Below are 20,353 nucleotides of genomic sequence, written 5' to 3'. Positions count from 1 at the left end.
TATACCATGTCTCCAGAATATATTCATCTTACAACTGCAAATTTGTACCCTTTGACCAACATCTCCACACCAGTCCCCTTCCCTAGAAATCACTCTTTTACTCTGTTTCTATGAGTTAAACTTTTTTAGATTCCATATATAAGTGGGATCATGAAGTATTTGTCTTTCTGTTTCTGACTTATTTCACTCAGCATAATATCCTTCAGTATCTTGAAGAGATGTTTTCACTCCCATGTTCATTGCAGCTTTATTCACAATAGCCAAGATACGGAAAAACCTAAGTGTCCATTGATGAATGGATAAAGAAAATGTGACACACACACACACACAATGGGATATCATTCAGCCTTAAATAGAAGGAAGTCCTGCCATTTGTGACAACATGGATGAACATGAAGGGCATTATACTAAACAGAATAAGCCGAACACTGAAAGACATATACTGCATGACCTTCTTTTATCTCTCTTTTCCACATAAATGACCTGAGTTCATTTTGTTCCACAGCATTCATTTACTCTTCCATAATTACCATTCTTCTTCTTAGAATACCCTTCCAGATTTGCTTATCTGTTTTTTTATTCTAAGATGAATATTCACCAACAATGAACAACCCATTACAAACTAAACAGTGTATGTTCACGATGGCCACAATGCCCTGGAGAGCTGGAAATGAGGGGGGCTCATGCCATGCACTTTGTACGTGCTATGCCACCCAATCATCACTGCAACCCTGTGAGGCTGGTATCATTGGCCCCATTTTGGAGAAAAGAAAACAAAGACTGAGATTCATTAACCATTCGTCCATTTCATGAATCAAGGTTTCATCTATCTATGTTCTAGATGCACCTAGCCAATGAGAAACACACCCACACCTCCAGCTGTAAATCCTATGCTGTTTGCACTACAACTGTCTGATCCTCATTTGCACACAGAATTGAGGTTCCAGGAGGAGGTAAGTTTGGTGTGGGTTCCAGAAAGATGGGATTGGAGGGGTAGAGGCCAAATGAAAACATTCTAAAAAAGGAAAACGAGGAGGAGAAAGAGGAGAAGAAGGGCAAGGGGGCAGTCAGTCACAGGGGAGAAAATAATCTGATTTTTAGTGGGTGGAGAATAAATAGAGAGAGACTTAATCGGAAATGCAGGGTTCAAATGTCAGAACGACAGTTCAGCGTTTTTGCATGATCTTTATGACATATGCTATTTCTATACGAAACAAATTTCTTTTTAAATTTTTGTCATTCTCTCTGAAACTCCAGCCCTTCTTAGGACAAGCAGGAGTGAACATGAAAGAAGTAGCGTTATTGTACAGACGTCTTAGAATTTTATCTAATATGTAAAGAAAAATACACCTCAATGCCACTGCTAGAAAATACGTGTTTGAGGGTGGCACGAGGGTTGTATAGGCAGGGTGGACACAGAATACGCAATTCCAGGATCCAGCAGAAGAGGCTGTGTTGGACAGACAAACAACAGAAAGGCGGTAGAGCTTCTTAAATAGAACTGTGTTTCTTAAAAGTGGGGGCAGCATTTCTTAAAGGTTAATTTTCTTCATAGAGACTAATATTTTGGATTTTGCATTGGATGGTTAGAAGATGTGAAGAGATGACAAGCTAGGAGGCCAGCTGGAAAGCTCTTGCAGTGACTTCAAGAATTAGCTCATGAAGGCTTACTGTAAGGCAGATGTGGTGGAAACAGAGGCTCTGACATAATGAGATGCCCTAAAGAAAGACCAAAACCAGAACTCAGGAGCAGACTGGTTATTCACAGCAGAATCAAATAAAGAGTCAAGATGGTTTTCTGATTCCTCCTTGAACTAGTGAATCAACTGTGTCTCTGGCAGCCTTTTCTAATTTTCCATTATACCCAGAGGCTGTCAACAATCCATGAGAAAGAGGCACGTAGAATAATCGCTTTCAGAAAACTAAGTCGTATTTTTATTAGCTGTTTTCCATGATAAAATAAACCTTATGTGTCACTTGCCCTTTATCAGGGATAAACACTGTGCATTCACTGAGTATCAGAAGGAGGCCTTTGCTGTACAGTTATCCAATTAATGCCAGGAAGAGAGTTTAAAAGCAATCAAGGCTTTGAATAAAGCTCAGTGTAAATTGACCTTGTTCTTTTCTTCAGGCAGAAGCATCTTTGTGACTTCCAGACTGTGACATGTTTACTAAGTATGTGAGATCATATACCCTCAGTGGCTAGACACCACCACTTTGCAGACTTAAAATTCTCAGGAGCTAGTTGAGTAAGTGCATGATGTGATGTGTGCAACAAGACAGACACCATGGTTTACTTACCTTGCTTATTGACCAGCCGTGACTTCTTGCAGTAATAAGTAAACTCCTGTTCACAGTGCTCTGCACGGTTAATAGTGGCCTGAAGTTGCTCCATGCTGGCCACATACTCGAAAAACCCAGCATATGGGTTCTCTGGATTAGTATTTCTGACTCTTGTTAAGTCAGAGCCGTTGTGCTGTATGATGGTCCATGCAGTTTCTTGTATGCAGAAATGGGGGGAGAAAGAGAGGAGACCATCACTAGTCTGCAAAAGTTAAAATAAATAAAGAAAATCAAAATCACCTTTTATCTGAGTCAAATGTTTCTAGTCATCAAACTTCCCTGAGAGGTAGAATCAACACAAATGGATTCTCGGAATTTTTAAGTTATGGTAAGTGATTATTTTTCCTAAAATATATACTATTGCCATGCATTTACAGTAATTTTATTTAACATTTTCATATAATTTAGCCACACAATATTTATGATGAAAAATATTAAGAAATCTGATTATTTTTGTGATGTATTTTATTTCATTGAAATCGATATTCCATCTTTTTAAAGATGCATCATTATTTTATTTCTCTGCAAGAAAGGAAAAATGCTGCCTATTATAACTACAAAACATTATTCATCAACACACCCAAAATCCAATGATATCACAATATTTAAAAAAATGTATATTAGAATTCAAGAAATAATTTATATTACATAATGTAAGCAGCCCCTTTTCTACTCTTAACAACTATTCATGGTATCAGCAAAAATAAAGTCAAAATTTTGTAGCCCTCTATATACCTCTCCTTAATCAACATTTAATTATGAGTGTGCATCTTTTTAAAATTAAATTTGAAATACTCATTTTGATATCATGTGATCTGGACAGTTAGGCAGTTCAATAGGAAGTTACTCTTTTGAATTGAATGCATCTGACACAGCATCTCAACTAACACAAAAGTAAAATATCTTTGAGTATCTACTAGAGTTATCACTATTGGTGCCTGAATGTCTGTAAACATTTCCATCATACTGATTATCAAAATTTCTTAGATGAAATAAAAATCTCACAATGTTTGTAACAGATGATAGGCATGTGATATCTGCCCTTCAACTTTACCAGCAACAGACTTTATACTATATTTTCTGTGATATATGCAGACACAAGAACAGATAAATCAAAAAGCCTCTGATTTAGTAGACAAGAAAACAGAGTGAAAGTTGTCAGAACTCTACTACATATGTGCTGTTAAGTCACATAACTCTTCTGTAATACAGAGGAATATCCCAAATTGGAGAAAAATAGTAATAGTAGGCAAAACTTTCCCCTCTCTTTTTAGCTAAGACATTCACATGGATCAACAATCCAAATAAGGAGGTATACTTTGAAAATTTCATTCCCATTCCTTTCCCAGTCATCAGAGTTTGGATTAGAGAGGCAGGCTAAATGAGGCTGGACCAACTTCACAGAATTATTGCCTTCCATGTGTGGATTATTATTTTTCTGCGAAACAATAGCTGTTATTTTTGTATTTCCCCCTTGCATTTCAGTTCACCCTTCAACAGTAGAATGCTCTCAAACAGAACTTAATCTACCAGCCAATGAAATTACGGGTGGCCAGCAGTATAATGTCGAAGTCAATTAAGAGATCTGAGTTGCAGATCTGGCATGGATCTTGTGCCCTTAGGAAAGTCAGGTAAAATCTGAGCCTCCATTTCCAAATTTGGAAATTAAATTGGCAGAACGAGGTCTGAAATTCTGTAATTTCAGCCAACTCAACCTTGGCTATCGGAAGTTTAAGGTTATTATTAACTAGACAAACCTGACAGCCTAGCCACTGTTGGACTCTGTTTCTTTTGTTCAAAAAAACTATTCACCTTTTCTTGCGGTAAATCAATGGCATGCAAGAAGAAGCTAGCTACCAAGCAAGGCGGACAATATACCTGCTTGAAGCCTTTGTCTCTTTCCCTTCTGGATCACACTGAGTGAGACTTCCCTGTAGTTTAGCATCCACTGGGTCACAATTAACACCTGATTCTAAAGGTATTTAAAGGTGTTGCAAGAGATTCAAGGCCATAGTGCATGGCAACCATTAAAGAGTAGCTCATAACAACGTTTCCTTTTGAAATTCTAAAATATTTCAATATTATGATAGTCCCTGTAAGTGATTTTATTCTCTAATAAAAAGCACTACAAGGTATGATGTTAAACAGACGCCACACTTATCAGGCCATCTAGATTTCCAGGGCAGAACAGACACAATGAAATTGTCACAATAGATTTTGAGCAACGGAGATAGGTGCCTTAAAAGCCAGGTTCCAAACCTCATGTGCTTCATTAATCTGGAAATCTCTGAAAAGTCTCAAATTAGAGCCTCTTTACTGTTCTTTCAGACATGATTGAGTGATCCGAAGTTTCTACAAACACCTATTTAGGAATAAGAGTGGTAAAAGACATGCACTTCATCACAATTTGTAATTCAATACTTTGTGGTTGACTTTACTGGTCTTTCCTACCAGTCTGTAAGCTCTATGAGAATAGCAATAGTTTGTGATCTGGTAACAATCATATCTCCAGCACACAGCACAAGGCTTGATAGAAAACGCAGAAGACATTTGTTGAAGAAATGAGGGAATAAACAAACGAATGAATAAAAACAACACATTGTCTAGATTAGAGCACAACCTCCTAGGTTATCTGATTCAGATGCTGCGGTGGCTCTGACATGTTCGTTGCTTTGAGCTGTTATATAATTCTATACATTGTAGATAACTAATAGAATTGCTAAATAATGTTAAATCTGAAACTGTGCTGGGCCCTGAGATGTTATCCCACTTGCAAGTTAAGGAGTTATCTTGCCAATACACAGATAATATCTATCTGTTTATGATCTATCTACTACCTACCTACCTGTCTAATCTATACTAACAGACACAGAGGACCTCTGAATCAGGGACCATTCGCTCATAGAGAATCTAATCAGCATCAATCTCTCATACCTCAATTTCCCACCTGCACATGCAGTGAGTGCTAGATAGAGCTGTGCCTGCTGGACTTGCACCACAAGAGGAGGTTCACAAAATTATGAGGCTTGGGCTTACAGAGGGTGCCTGGCACACTCTCTCCTCCTTCCCTCCATACAGTGATAGAGAGACTTTGGCTCTGGAATGTCACAAATTTTCTTTAGAGGAGAGAAGGTACAGTCCTTAGGTTTTTATTACTCTTAGAAAATAAGCAAATGCATCTGGGGGAGATAAGCCTTTAAATCTCTTCAGAGCAATTCTCTATCTCTAACTTCCAAGATGCATTTAATCATCCTTTAACGTAGGTTGCCAGACTTTTTTTTTTGTCTTTGTCTAGAAATACAGGCACTGTTTCCTTACAACAAATAATTCTTGTCTTGTCTGTAGACAAGCAACTGCTACCTGGTTGAGGTTCTAGTGACTTCCCTCCTCCACCATGGATGAATCCAGTGTTGCCTCCGTATGCACATTTGTTTCTGTGTTCCTAATGTGTAGATACATCTTTTCTTTGGATTCTCCTTCGAACTGGTTGTAATATCTTTCCAATTTCTTCATTAATAATGCATTTTAAAAATCTTTAAAACTTTTAAACTTTTATTTTCATATCTGTATGAGAATCATGATTTTACTTTATTACCAATTATCTTTTACTAAATGCAAAAAGAGTGGTAGGGTAAGGAGACAGGGAAATGAATAAGAGATGGCTGAAATAGGCAGAAAATCTCCATTGAATGGTAGTTTGGGTCTACTCACGTCTCCCCCTGAAGAGATTTCAATATTTGTAAATAAAGCAACTGAGTAATTAACAACTGGATTTACCTTAGGCTGGCTGCTATTTTTTAGTGTGATAACAGTGCAAAGTGAAAACATGCTGTTTAAGCAATACACTTGCAAAGCTTGTGTTGCTTCACGCTGAATAGCTGAAGGTGATAGATGTGATAAAGACCCTAAGAGCAGGTAGGAAGTGCTGTCTTAAGGAAAGCAGAGGAGACAGGAGGGGAGAGAGCCAGCCTTCTGGAGCAAAGCTTGATGTAAATAAGACTGCATTTGAATAATGGACAGTTATGTATTAACCCTCATAGCTGTTAAGAAGGCCTTTATTATTGAAATCTCTAAAGTAAAAATAATTATGCTATTGTAAGTCTTATGCTCTCCAGCTTTCTCCTGAAATGGTCTCAGGAGCTCCTATCTCAGAATCACCTGGGGTACTTGTTAGTAATGCAGAGACCCAGACCTTGTGTTCTAAACTTACTGAGTCAGGGAAACTAAACCCAGGAGTCTCAGTAATGGGACCATGAGAAGGGGTGAGTTTAACCCATAGAGTTTTCACTTTTAGAAAAACTTGAAAGTCTCTGTTCTGGCACTCATCAATTTCTCCCCTCTGGAACAATCATCCTTACAGTGCAATATTTGATAACAAGAAACTTCTTGAACATAAAACAATTTCATTATAGAAAAAGCAATGAAGGCTGGGCACAGTGGCTCATGCCTGCAATCCCAGCACTTTGGGAGGCTGAGGCAGGCGGATCACCTAAGGTCGGGAGTTCGAGACCAGCCTGACCAACATGGAGAAACCCCATCTCTACGAAAAATACAAAATTGGCTGGGCGTGGTGGTGCATGCCTGCAATCCCAGCTACTCGGGAGGCTGAGGCAGGAGAAATGCTTGAACCTGGGAGGCGGAGGTTTAGACCAGCCGAGATCGTGCCATTGCACTCCAGCCTGGGCAACAAGAGTGAAACTTTGTCTCAAAAAAAGAAAAAAAGAAAAGAAAAGAAAAAGCAATACGGACAGCCCCTGGGATTCACCTTACTCTAACTAATTATTTTGAAACTATGTTTGGAAAACTGTTTACAAAGAAATTTCAGCTTTTAACATCGTTTAAGAAATTATCCATTCAAAATAGAGATTTTTTTTGTAGATTTTAGCTTATAATGCTTAGAGGTATTTTAATACATGTGGAATCACTTGACACTAGTTCTAGACTAAAAACTGGATTTTTTAATAAGACACATATTTGCATGTTGGTGATTCAGCATTTTGTCTTATTTTCAGCAGTCATTATACCTGATCTATATAACTAGAAGATATGCTATTGGCTGCAAGCAATGAAACATTGATAGAAGGTAACTCTTCCTAGTGGAAAAACTTTCAGGCTGTGAGAAAAGAGACCAGTGCTTGATCTATTCCTACCAATATTTTCACCCTGCTACACTTAACCTCCCTGAGCCTTGGTTTCCTTATTTGCAAAACCAGATCAATAAGGAGAGTTTCAAGCTATACCTCCTACACTTAACCTCCCCCATTCTTGGCTTCCTCATTTGCAAAACTAGATCAATAAGGAAAGTTTCAAGTAGTAACACGTATTTCTCACTGGGTTGCAATACTCTGGGTTGTCACTTTTGTTTGAATATGTTCCAATATTCCAGAGCTACTGGAGACATTTAGCTGTCTCTGGGTATCTGTGTTTCTGAACATCTTGCTATCCACGTGGCTTTAAATTTTCTGAATGTCCTCTTTTCCATCAATACTTTTAATCTTGCTGAATGAAGCACCTTTAATCTCTGCATACTTCCAGTGACTCCAGTCTTTTTTTTTTTTTTTTTTTTCATTTCTCTCCTCTTTGGGATCTATGACCCATCTGACCTCATTTCAAAATCTAAGCTCCTAAAACATGGAATTTGTTCTCTCTCTCTCTTTCCCCACACACACATACACACTCTTCAGGTCTCTTAGAATTGTTTAGTCTTAACTACAATTTTTTCCCCAAATAATTTGTTTATCAAAGATATATCTTCTATAATAATGTACATTAATTTGCTATGTAATATAAAAAAGTAAATGTTGATTTAATTTAAATAATATATTCAATAAAATAAAATTGATAATTTCATTATCATTTAGTTAATAAAAAATACATATGGCCTATAAATTACTAAATTATTGCCCATAATAAACATAAGATATATAGTCGATATTCATCACACACAGATTCTCATTACTTGTGAATTTGCCTACTTGCTAAAATTTATTTGTAACCCCAATGCTTTCACAGTCATTTGTGAACACAAACAGAGCTGCAAAAATTTGGCCTGCCTGACATTCACATACCCCGTTAGAGCTGAACAAGGAAACATTGTTTTCCTGTTTCAGCTCTCATACTATGAACAAATGTCTCATTTGTAGTCTATTAAGTGCCACATTTTTTTGCATTTTTGTGCTACTCATTGGTGATTTTGCTGTTTAAAACGCCCCCTACTCCCAGAAATGTTGTCGAGTGCTCCTAAGCACAGAAGGTTGCACGCACTGAGCCCTAGAAAGAAAACACGTATGTTAGATAAGCTTTGCTCAGGCGTGAGCTACAGTGCTCTTGGCCATGAGCTCAATGTTAATGAATCAACAGTATGTATTAAATAAGGTGTCTTTAACCTGAAACACACATAAAACAAGATTATGTATTGATTGGTGAATGAGACCGTTGTGACCAGAGGCTTGCAAGAAACTAATTGTACTGTGATTCCCCCAGGAGTAATTTGTTCAGTGTTTTCCAATCCAGTGTTCTTGGTTACTTTACGGAACATAACGACTGCAAACAATGAGAATGGATGTGTGTGTGTGTGTGTGTGTGTGTGTGTGTGTGTGTGTGTGTGTGTTTCTTAAAACTTCAAAGACTAGAGATATTTATCAACCTATCGCTGTCTAATTTCAGAATGAAACTTCCTATAACATGTGTATGTGTATAGATCCGGATGCATTTATGGGAACATAGAATTTACAGGTTTGCAGTGGTGGATTGTTACATAAATCTCACTCACAATCCAACCTATCCAAGCTGGAAAAAAAATAATAAAACATTTTGGCACTGGAATTCATATCTTACACTTGTAAAGTCTTCTCTCTTTTTTTCTCTGTAAAGTCCTCTCACATTTGTTATGTTTAATTCTCGCATACCAGAGTTGCCAGTGCATACTGAAGTTTGAGAACCATGAAGTCTAAAACAGTGATTCCCAAACCTAAGTACACATAAGAATCATTTGGGAAGATCCATGATGATATTATTTCCATTGGCCCAACTCAGTGGTTGCACTGGATGAGAAGCACCTGCAGTGCTGTCTGGGCATTTGTACTGCACAGGCGGGAGAGCTTCATTGAGAAGACACATATGCAGGAACACCATTTGTTTGGGCTGTTTTGGTGTATGAGGCAATGTCCTCAATGGTTGTGAGACAGATAGAAGCTACCAAGTTGTGTTAAATGAAAAACCTTTGAAGATACTAATTTATAGCAATTTCTGCCAAAATATGTGTTGGCACAGAGTTTGCCACCACCTGCAGTTTTTAGAACTAAACATTCATTAGTATAAAGAAGCGGTTGCTCCCATATTCAAATGCCTCCTCAGAATCTTGTTTGAACATGGAAAAACAGACATCTCAAACTAAAAAAAAAAAAAAATTGTGTAAAACAGAGCTTATGATCTTTCACCTTAAACCTTTTCTGATCACATCTTAAATAATGACAATTCAAACACTCAATTACTCAGGGCAAAAACTGTGTCGTTATTTTTGGCTTTTTGTTTTCTCACACCTCATAGCTATGCAAAGAGAAAAATCTAACACCTTTCCTCCATCTACAGTGCTATTATCTTGTACAATCAGTCCTGGATTTTTGCATTACTTGAAATGGTCTCCCAATACAATTAAGATACTGAAATTGTATCTTATAAAGTACAATATGCATAGTCTCATCACTCTTTTCCACCCATGCTCCTGAAGAAGCATTCCCTAACCCAGGAGCAGTTGCAATCCAACTAAAGGAAGTCAGATTGCATCCCACCGTTTCTTAAAACTACAGTATAATAAAAATTAAAAAAAAAAATAAAAAAATAAACTCCTCAGTGTCTTCTCATCTCATTTCAGAGTAAAAAACCAAAGGTCTTACAACATTGTCATGAAGCCCATACTCTTCCCCTCCCCACCCAACTTGCCTCTCTCCTCTCTTCCTACGCCCCACTTACTCACCATACTCCCGCTATCCTAGGTTTGTTGCTGTTTTCTGAACACACCTGGTAAGTAAGATCATCTGTCTCAGAACTTGGTACTTTCTGTTTCCTCTGCCCGAAAGATATGTTCTTCAATTTTAAGTACCAAATCTCCCCTTGCAACACCCTCTGCCTCAATGTATAATAATTTTGCCCTTTTCCTTTGGTTTTGCTCCATAAAATATTGACTTCTAACACTGTTCATTGTAACTTTCAGCAAATGACAAGGTTCTACATCTACAATGATACACTCCATACTAGCCCCGGGAGGCTATTAAGCAGTTAAAATGCAGCCAGGGAGACTGACAAAGTAAACTTAAAAAAAGAAAAATAGAGATGGGGTCTCACTATGTTGCCCAGCCTGGTCTCGAACTCCTGGGCTCAAATTATGCCCCCGCCCTGGCTTCCCAAAGTGCTGGGATTACAGGTGTGAGCCACTGCACCCGGCTGTTATTTAATCCTATTTTAGTTAAATTTTTAAATTTAAGTTTAAATTTTTAAAATGCAGTCATTTTGTTTTGTAATTAATTTTAATTAAATTAGAATTCAAATAGGCACTTGCTAGTGGCTACCATGTTGGACAGCACAGTTCATCTAGAATCTATTTTGTGTGTGTGTGTTTGATGAGGAGGAGATCAATACTCCTTTTACTGACATTTAAGTACAAATTCCACCAGCACTACTGGTTGAAAAGACCATCTTTCCTTCATTACATATCAATGCCACCTTGGCAATAAATCAATTATCCATATATGAGTGAGTCTGTTTATAAATTCTCTATTTTGTTTTTATTGGTTTATTTGTTTATCTTTGTGACAGCTATATACGGCTTTACGTAGCCAATCAGTATAATGCCTATATCCAGTAGAGCTGAATCCTTCAAATTTGTTCTTCAAGACTCACTGACTTGGTTCTTCTTGCCTCTGTGTATTTACTCATAATTTTAGAATATGCTTGTTGATTTTCACCAAAATAATCACACCAACCTACAAACAAACACCCTGCTTGAGTTTTAATTTAGGTTTGCACGGAATCAATATCTAGTTTGGAAGAACTGATATTATACAATATTGAGTCTTCTAATCAACGAACATATTTTTTTCTTTTTTTGAGACAGAGTCTCACTCTGTCACCAGGCTGAAGTGCAGTGGCACAATCTTGGCTCAATGCAACCTCCACCTCCCAGGTTCAAGCAGTTTTCTTGCCTCAGCCTCCTGAGTAGCTGGGACTGCAAGCGCATGCCACCATGCCCAGCTAATTTTTGTATTTTTAGGAGAGACGAGATTTCACCATGTTGGCCAGGATGGTCTCAATCTCTTAACTTCATGATCTGCCCACCTCCCAAAGTGCTGGGATTACAGGCGTGATCAATGAACATTTTATATTTCTCCATTTATTTAGGATATTAGTTCATTGAAAGGGTGTTTTCTAATTATCGGTGTAGAAACCTTGTACATCTTTCATTACATTTACTACCATGTGTTTGAGGTTTTTATGCTATTGAAAATATGATCTCCTAAAAGTTTATTTTCTAATTTTTATTGCTGATATACAAAAATAAAATTAATTTTATGTTTGTTGTTCAATGACAATCCTAATAGTTTATCTGTAAATTGTTTAGAGTATTTTAATACATAACCTGATTATCTATGAATAGTGAGAATCTTGGTCTTTTTTTTCCCCAATATTTATATTTTTCATTTCTTTCTCTTGTTTTATTGCACTGTCTAGGACCTCCAATACAATGGTGACGAGAATGGTATTAAAGCCGGTAATGGGAAAAGCTTTCAAATTCCACTATAAACTAATATAGGCTGTAAAGTTTTCTGGTCTTTATCGAAACAAGGTAACTTCCTTCTATTGGTAATTTGTTGAGTGTTTTAAATTATGGATGAATGTTGAATTTAATCAAACATATTTCCATGTTTATTAATTTCTATGTAAATTTATGTAAGAATACAAGAAGACGTAAACTTTATGTTTACATACATTTAAAAAGTAAATATTCTTCAAAGCTTTTACATGTATCAATCTTCTCTCATAAATAGTCTATCCTTTTTGTTTGGGGACATAATTGGAAACATTTATTATTAGATGTTTTACACAGATGCCACATGCATTAAAAAAGACATTTAAAATCATTACCATTTAATTATTTTTTTAAGATTTATGTTCAGTTTTTCTAAGGAACAATACATATTTTAATCAAGTTGCAAATTACGTCAACATTCTGCTTATTTCATTTTAATTTTGCCTATTTAAAACATGCATGCAAATTTAACTGTAAAATAAAAGCTGATTAACTCACCGGTCATATTGCAATATAGAAGAAATGGTTCCAGGGGACCACTTCCATCTGAATCTATATAGTAAAACCCTGAAGTATTTCCTCTGTGCTTATAGGCTTCACATGACTGCTCATAGATAGCTTTAAGAAAAAAAATCATCATTAATGGAATAGCATGAAATGAATCTCTTAACTTTTAATTTGGACATGAAATACCGCAAATCTTGAAATTTAAAATGTACATTACTGACCAGGAGAAAAGGCAAAACTTACTTTAAAACAAAACTCATTCTTTTTTAAAATTAATATGGATGAAAGTGATTTGATAGCAAAAAAAGAAGTTGATTTTATGACTTTTTTTAATCACTAAAGGAAAATGAAATTACTTGGTCAAAATCAAAATTTAGCTACTTTGACATTATGAAGAACAAGGAAAGAGAAGGTAGGTGTTTAAATGTTGGAGCCTTATAAGTATAATGTCATAACTTATCTTGTGGCACACATTTTGGAAATCCTAGTAGCACCTTGTAATAACCTAAGGTCTGAAGCACAACAGTGTAACTTCCTTAAAAAATCTGCTGTTAGCCAATAATTATACAACAGAAACACTTTAAATCATGTTACAACTATATTCTCACAGAAAATTAACTATAAAATATTTTTTTCATAAAACAAATGGGATTCACAAAGCTCATCAATAATTTTAAGTAATTTACAAAAGAAACTCCCACCAATGCTCCATAATGAGAACTCAAGATAATTAAAATTCAAAGCAGAAGACATACTTGTATGAACTATGCCTTCAAGTGGTTTCAGTGTGTTTAGATCCATAATCGGATGTTTGGATGTTTTTAATTATGTAATCCTAAATTTGCCATGTACAAGGTTTCATATTAATACACTTGTGTATAATGCACACCTCTCATTGAACACTTGGCCAAATATACTGATAACTTCTGTTAAGCATTTTATTCTGTGAAATGAGAAATAATCCCCTGAATATTTGTCCCTGAATCTATTTTACTTTTGAAAATTATGTTAATGAGTGTTTAAACAACGTGAAATACTATGGCTAATTTGTTCAATGTTACCAAAATTTCAAGTAATCATGTAAATTTACTTCCGCACTTCTCCACAGTGTGACAGTTTTATTTTGTTCCTATAATATATCATGCTGATAGAGATATAAGCATGGTTCATCTTCCAGTCACATTTGCATTTTGTGCACTGAAGAGAGTACGTAAAAATGACTAGTTTATACATTTCTATGTACATATGCATATGTTCATAAAGTCCTTGAAAGAGCTTGGCAGAATATCATAACTTTGTGGTGGGACTGGTTGTGGAAAAGGATTGGATGAGACTACTCGGAAGGACTTCTGATTTATGTGTATGGCTTGACTTTTTATAACATGACTGTTGATTTATGTGTATGGCTTGACTTTTTAAAACATGACTGTTTAATGATTATTTCCTAATAAGGCTTTTTAACAAACTCCATCTCCTGCCCTCCACTATAACCAAGACTGTCATTCTGGCTTCATTTCTCGGAATAGTTATGGGCAAAAACCCTTCAGTTCTATTACAGCTGTCTTTTCAAGAACCTAATAAATGAAACTCAATTATTGTATCAAATTGTGGGTCACAGATGAAAGTAACTTTATTTATTACCTAATTTTTGTCTTCAGAGTTGTTTGGTTTATATTTAGATTCAGTCACTGATAACAATTAAAATGAATAGTCGATGAAAACACTGAATAGCTTTCTGTTTTGAGTTAGTTACTACATGGGGATAATGGAGGATGTAAAAAATTAAAATATACTGTCCTTCCACTAGCTGGGTGTCCTGGGTCAAATAACGTGGCATGCAAGTACAGGTGAGGTGTGGCTTTATTACCAGCCAATATTCTTCATAAAAATCTTATGAGGCACCTCAGTATACACAATTCATGCCCAGAAATGACTCCAACAACAGTGGTAGAGCTGAGAGATTCTCTTGATGATGTCTTCCCCAGCACCGAATCAGGGCTTCTGAGGGTCCTCTGTGCAGGCCCCCAGAGCTGGGAGCCCAGGATTCCAAACACTGGCAGGAGCACAATGCAGTGTATAGTGTAATAGACCAAGGGTGGTGAGACTGATGGCTTTGTACCTTATACTCTTACCTTAAATCAAGGATATAGGAGGTAATACTAAGAGTTCAGTTGCTCAGAAATGTCAGTAATAATCGGAAAAAATGGGGGGGAAATGGGCATTTTGGTCTTCCCATTTGTGCGCCAGAACAACTGGACAATGAAATAACATGGGCCTTACAACACATGCAATCCATTTCATCAGAAAAACAAATTCATGATTTGTAATACAGGAAAAAGGGATATTGGTTGTTATCCCAGGCTCTAGAAGATGTTGTCACATGTTCACATCCTCACTCTGCCTCAACTATTTTAAGTAGCCTTGAACAAATAGATTAATATCTATTTCTTTATAAGTAAGTTGCATATAATAGTATTCACCTACTAGGGTGAGCATCAGAATTAAACGAGTTAGGACATAGAAAATACTAGATCAGTAGCTGACATTTAGAAAGTATTGAATAAAATTAACTATTTATCTACCATCATAATTTAATCATTATCTACCACCCTTTTCCTTATCACCCTCATTAAATAGGGTTGCAAGATAACATAAGAATTATCTAGCGCAATAGACTGAAGGTTTGTGTCCCCTCAAAACGTGTATGTTGAAACCTAGTCCCCAATATGGTGGTATTGGGAGGTGGGGCCTTAGTGAAGTGATTAGGCCATGAGAGTGAAGCCCTCATGAGTGGGATTTAGTGCCCTTGTAAAAGATTTCCCAGAGAAATCCCTCACCCCTTTCACCATGTGAGGACACAGTGAGAAGATGGAAGTCTATGAACCAGGAAGCACACCCTCACCTAATCTGCTGGCATCTTGATCTTGAACTTCTCAGCCTCCAGAATGGTGAGAAATACATTTCTGCAGTTTGTAAGTCACCTAGGCTATGGCATTATGTTACAGCTATCCAAACAGACTATGGCATCTAGTCTCTACTGGATATCTGAATCTTCATACCACAAACCACCCCAACCCACTCCAACCAGGGCTGTTTCTGAGAATCTCTTTGTTTAATTGTATGAATAGTAAGAATTTGGTAACTGAGCATGTTTCCACTTGTACTGCGCCTTCTAGAAAGTTTAGTGTCAAAATGCTGGCCCAATTTGAGTAACAGAACAAGATAACAAAATTCACGTTCTGCATTTTCTTAGTTTTCAACCCTTAGCTACCTTTCATCTTCTATATGTATTTTCCCTTTGCCAAGTTTGTTTCATATTATGTACTTTTATAGGCTATCTTGACGACTTTATGAAATGAGATGTGGATTAACCACTGGATGCTGAGTTTGCACAGAACAGACATATATACACACAGCAATGAAAAGGGAAATGGGACAAAGAAACCATCACAGGGGCAAGAAAAAGCAGATGTGTTCCGCTTACAGTTATGGCAAGTAGCTCCTCTGTAACCAGTGTTGGTACAGTTACAATGAAAGGTGCTCCAGGACTGGGAACACTCCCCACCGTGTTCACAATAGTTGGGCAAACACCTAAAAGAAGGTGCAGATACAATCACCAGTTTCCATTTTTAGATATCTTAAAGTATTGACCATTTATACTTGGTCATGAGAAAGACAGATGTCAACTATAACATAATGACTAATGATGCTTCAGTCTGTTGTTAATCACTTTAATCACAGAACTAAACCTTAGATCAATAAATTCATCAGATTTCAGCCAATTCTCAGATAGTTGTGACTGCTTAATTTTCAACATGTCCCACTACATCAGAGCCCTTCATTTTCCCTCAGTGACATAACACGAATTCAATATGTTGGCAGAAATATCAACAGCATACATGAAATAACATTTTATCACATTGAATTGCTACATTGTTTGAACACTGAAAGAAGGAATACAGATAAAAGAAGAAAAGAAAAAAGGAAGACAGAGGAATACCTTTCTTCACTTGAGGTATACTTCTAGGAATGTAGGAGAATACACAGTATAGGCTCACAAATTTCAAGCAGTGTGTTGGGGTGCTCTAAGGTGCAAAACAGAACTCATAGGGACTCCCAGGATAATTTAAGTCTTCAAGAGAAATATCTGTCATACTCAACATCTATCAAACACCGTGTGACTAACTAGCTTGAGGTAGTTTAGTTTCAACATTAGATCATTATATATTCCCTTTAATCACATCCTATCTTTGGGGAGCAGAGTTTTAGTAACTGATTTTTTAAAAAGCAAGTACCATGTGAAATCAATATTGAACAAAAATATGAGGCTACTGGAGTCTCATTTTTTTTTTTGAGACAGCTGCTCACTCTGTTGCCCCAGTTGGTGTGCAGTGGCACAATCTCAGCTCACTGCAACCTCCGCCTCCTGGGTTCAAGCAGGGGTTCTGCCTCCTGTATTCTCCTGCCTTAGCCTCTGGAGTAGCTGGGATTACAGGCTTGTGCCACCACGCCTGGCTCTGGAGTCTGATCTGGTTTCAAGTCTTGAGAAACGGTGCCGTGTTCAACAGGTACACATGTCCAAATACTAAGTAACTGTGTTTAATTAAAAATAATTTTTTCCAAATCATGTATATTATTTTTTTCAAAAGGCTCCTAAGTTGTTATGGCATTGTTAAGTTTTTTGGACCTAAACCACTTTTTAAGGTTAGGGATACATTGCTAGTGTTACGAAAGTCTTTTGGGTTAGCAGCACAGTCAAAATTACTGAGACACATAGGGCACCATAGATGAAAAAGTTTGGAAAGTTTTGTTATTGACTCAAATAGCCCTAATCAGATTTTTGATGCCTTTTAGGATTTAGAATGAAAGATACACTGAGATCAAGACTTTAAATGCCCTCATTCATTACAGATTAACGACTAAATAAACTACAAAACCTGCAAGAACACATTTGTGATGGGGTTTCTACCGTCTCCTTTATTAAAACTAAGGATGAGAACTTCCCGTTTTGCTTATAAAATTTTTCCAATTTTATCTGAAAGAGATATTATGGATTTTTTTTCCTTATTATAAGGACTAAAATGGTACTAACATTCCCCTCTCCTTAACCACAATTTAGATAGGTTTCTTGCGGACTACAGGCCCTTGACCTGCCTTATCTTAGAGCGTTTACTTTAGAAAACTTTCAGTGATCAATTCTTTCTTTGTCCCCTTCAGATGTAAATCTTCTCCCAGCCACTTGCCACTTTTACAACCCAGGTATGTCTTTCAAGGACCTGGGAGTCACCCCTTTGAAATGTAAGCATTAAGAAAGATACAGCCCCTGTCTCCCAGTCTCTGGGGAGGTAGGAGCCTAACTTCTTTAAGCACCAAGAAGCAAACACAGATGGCCTCATCTCACTGTTAGCCAGTTGTAAGGAAATAAACACTTATTAAGTTATTTGTAGCTAAGCCCCTTATAAAATCAAAGTGTTAGGTCTATCTTTTGGCTTACAGGTGCAGCAAACAGTTACTGAGACAGGCAGAGCACCATGCACCAACAGCTTGGGAACTTGATCAAATAGCCGTGATCAAATTATTGATACCTGTTAGGATTCAGAATGAAACACACCAAGAGACAAAGGTTTTAAGTGCCCTCATTCATCCCAGATTAAAAAACAAAACAAAACAAAACAAAACAAAAAAAAAACCTACAAAACCTGCCAAGAATATATACATAATAGGGTTTCCGCAATCTCCTTTATTTTTATTTGTTTGGGATGGAGTCTCACTCTGTTGCCCAGGCTGTAGTGCAGTGGCGCGATCTTGGCTCACTGCAAGCTCCGCCTCCCAGGTTCATGCCATTCTCCTGCCTCAGCCTCCCGAGTAGCTGGAACTACAGGTGCCTGCCACCACGCTTGGCTAATTTTTTGTATTTTTTAGTAGAGACGGGGCTTCACCATGTTAGCCAGGATGGTCTCGATCTCCTGACCTCGTGATCTGCCCGCCTCGGCCTCCCAAAGTGCTGGGATTACAGGTCTGCCATCTCCTTTATTAAAACAAAGGATGGAAACTTTACATTTTGCTTACAGAATTTTTTCCAATTTTAACTAAAAACAATATTATGTATTTTTCCTGATTATAAAAAAAGAGATGTTCACTGTAGAGAAATTAAACAATCCAGGAAAAAATAAAAAAGAAATGTCACTGACAATCTCACTGTGTATGAATGACCACTACAAACATATAGATATGTGTGTATATCCATAAATATAATCATAAAGAAATGCTACTTTACAATCTGCTTTTTAAGAAACCAAAAATTAATAATGGGCATCTCTTCATATCCATTAAGTTTATACATATTTAGCTTTTTTATAGATTCACAGGAATTCATTAAAAATGTGTCAGGATTTATTTAATTTTAAGCATTTCAAATCAATGACAATGTGTAAAAACAGGGAGATTTAAAAATATTAAAACAATAAAAATTCTAGTTGGTAATCAAACCAGAAAGGACATTATTCAGAGAAGGCTTCCCCCCTCTGCCCCCCTCACGGAGTATACTTATGTCTTTTTATTTTTTAACTCTTATTTTAAGTTCAGGGGTAACTTATGAGCAGGTTTGTTACCAGGTAAACTTGTGTCATGAGGGTTTGTTGTACAGATTGTTTCATCACCCAGGTATAAAGCTTAGTACCCATTAGTTATTTTTCCTGATCCTCTCCCTCCTCCCACCCTCCAACCTCCAGTAAGTCCCAGTAAGTGTTGTTCCCCTTTTTGTGTCTATGAGTTCTCATCATTTAGCTCCCACTTATAAGTAAGAACATGTCGTATTCATTGCATTAGTATTCACAATGGCAAAGAGATGGAATCAACCTAAAATGCCCATCAATGATAAACCAAATAAAGAAAATGTGGTACCTATACACCATGGAATACTATGCAGCCATAAAAAAGAATGACATCACGTCCTTTGCAGGAACATAGATGGAGCTGGAGGCCACTTCCTTAGCAAACTAATGCAGGAACGTAAAACCAAAGGCTATTCTATAGCAAACCTCAAACCATGTTTTAAAAAGAGTTCAACATAAGTGGCTTTGCCTAAAATCCAAAAGAATGACTCTTAAATGGTTGTGATACATATGTTATTTCTATTTGATCTGCTTCAAAAAGACCAACTGAGTCAATTTTTCTTGATTCTTGTTAGACTAGATTTTTCCTATTTTTAATTCAAATGTGAAAGATTAAATTGTGAATTTTATTTAAAGTCATTATATTATCATAATGTTTACTACTAGTAACCTATGGCAATTTAGGTTCTATAGTACTCATTCTCACCAAATGTTCTAAACCATTGTATTTTACACTTTTCTCCTCCCTACTCACTCCAATACAAGATAAGACAATTGATTAACCCATTTTCTCTAGCCACGAAAGCTTTTCCTTGGACATTGCCATCCTTTCCATTGCTTGTGAACTTGAACAAATGCTTACATCAACATACCCAAACCTAAAGTGATAGTAAGATTTTGATTTCTCATGATTCCCTGTCCATTACAATGTAAATTTCAAAAACTTTCATACAATGTAAAGGTTTGCTGGAATTAATATTGAAGTAAACTCTATACAACATTATCACATTTAGGGAAATAAACTTAAGTGCCAATGAGCGCTAGGATAATGGTCACCACCACAATTCAAATCTTACATTCTTCC

The 20,353-nt window shown here is 36.6% G+C and overlaps 1 protein-coding gene across 16 annotated transcripts in view; it reads right to left on the bottom strand.

The window, feature by feature from the left end:
* The window catches only part of CNTNAP4 (contactin associated protein family member 4), a 283,357-nt gene that overhangs the window by 68,573 nt on the left and 194,431 nt on the right, over positions 1-20,353 (bottom strand). For 13 of the 16 annotated variants that reach the window (NR_136210.2, NM_001322189.2, NM_033401.5 and 10 more), the window contains 3 exons: positions 16,140-16,246; positions 12,647-12,766; positions 2,302-2,499 (listed from right to left, as the gene is read on the bottom strand). Coding sequence is in view for 13 of the 16 variants with exons in the window: in NM_001322189.2 (NP_001309118.1) it covers positions 2,302-2,499; positions 12,647-12,766; positions 16,140-16,246 (425 nt within the window). In the remaining 3 variants the exon portion in view is untranslated. Of the gene's footprint in view, positions 1-2,301; positions 2,546-12,646; positions 12,767-16,139; positions 16,247-20,353 lie in introns of those variants that run through there. The other 3 variants (NR_136216.2, NR_136213.2, XM_047434819.1) reach the window with 2 other exon arrangements.

This window comes from Homo sapiens, chromosome 16, assembly GCF_000001405.40.
Source record: "Homo sapiens chromosome 16, GRCh38.p14 Primary Assembly".
NCBI lineage: Eukaryota > Metazoa > Chordata > Mammalia > Primates > Hominidae > Homo > Homo sapiens.
This window is presented reverse-complemented; position numbering and strand designations above follow the sequence as displayed.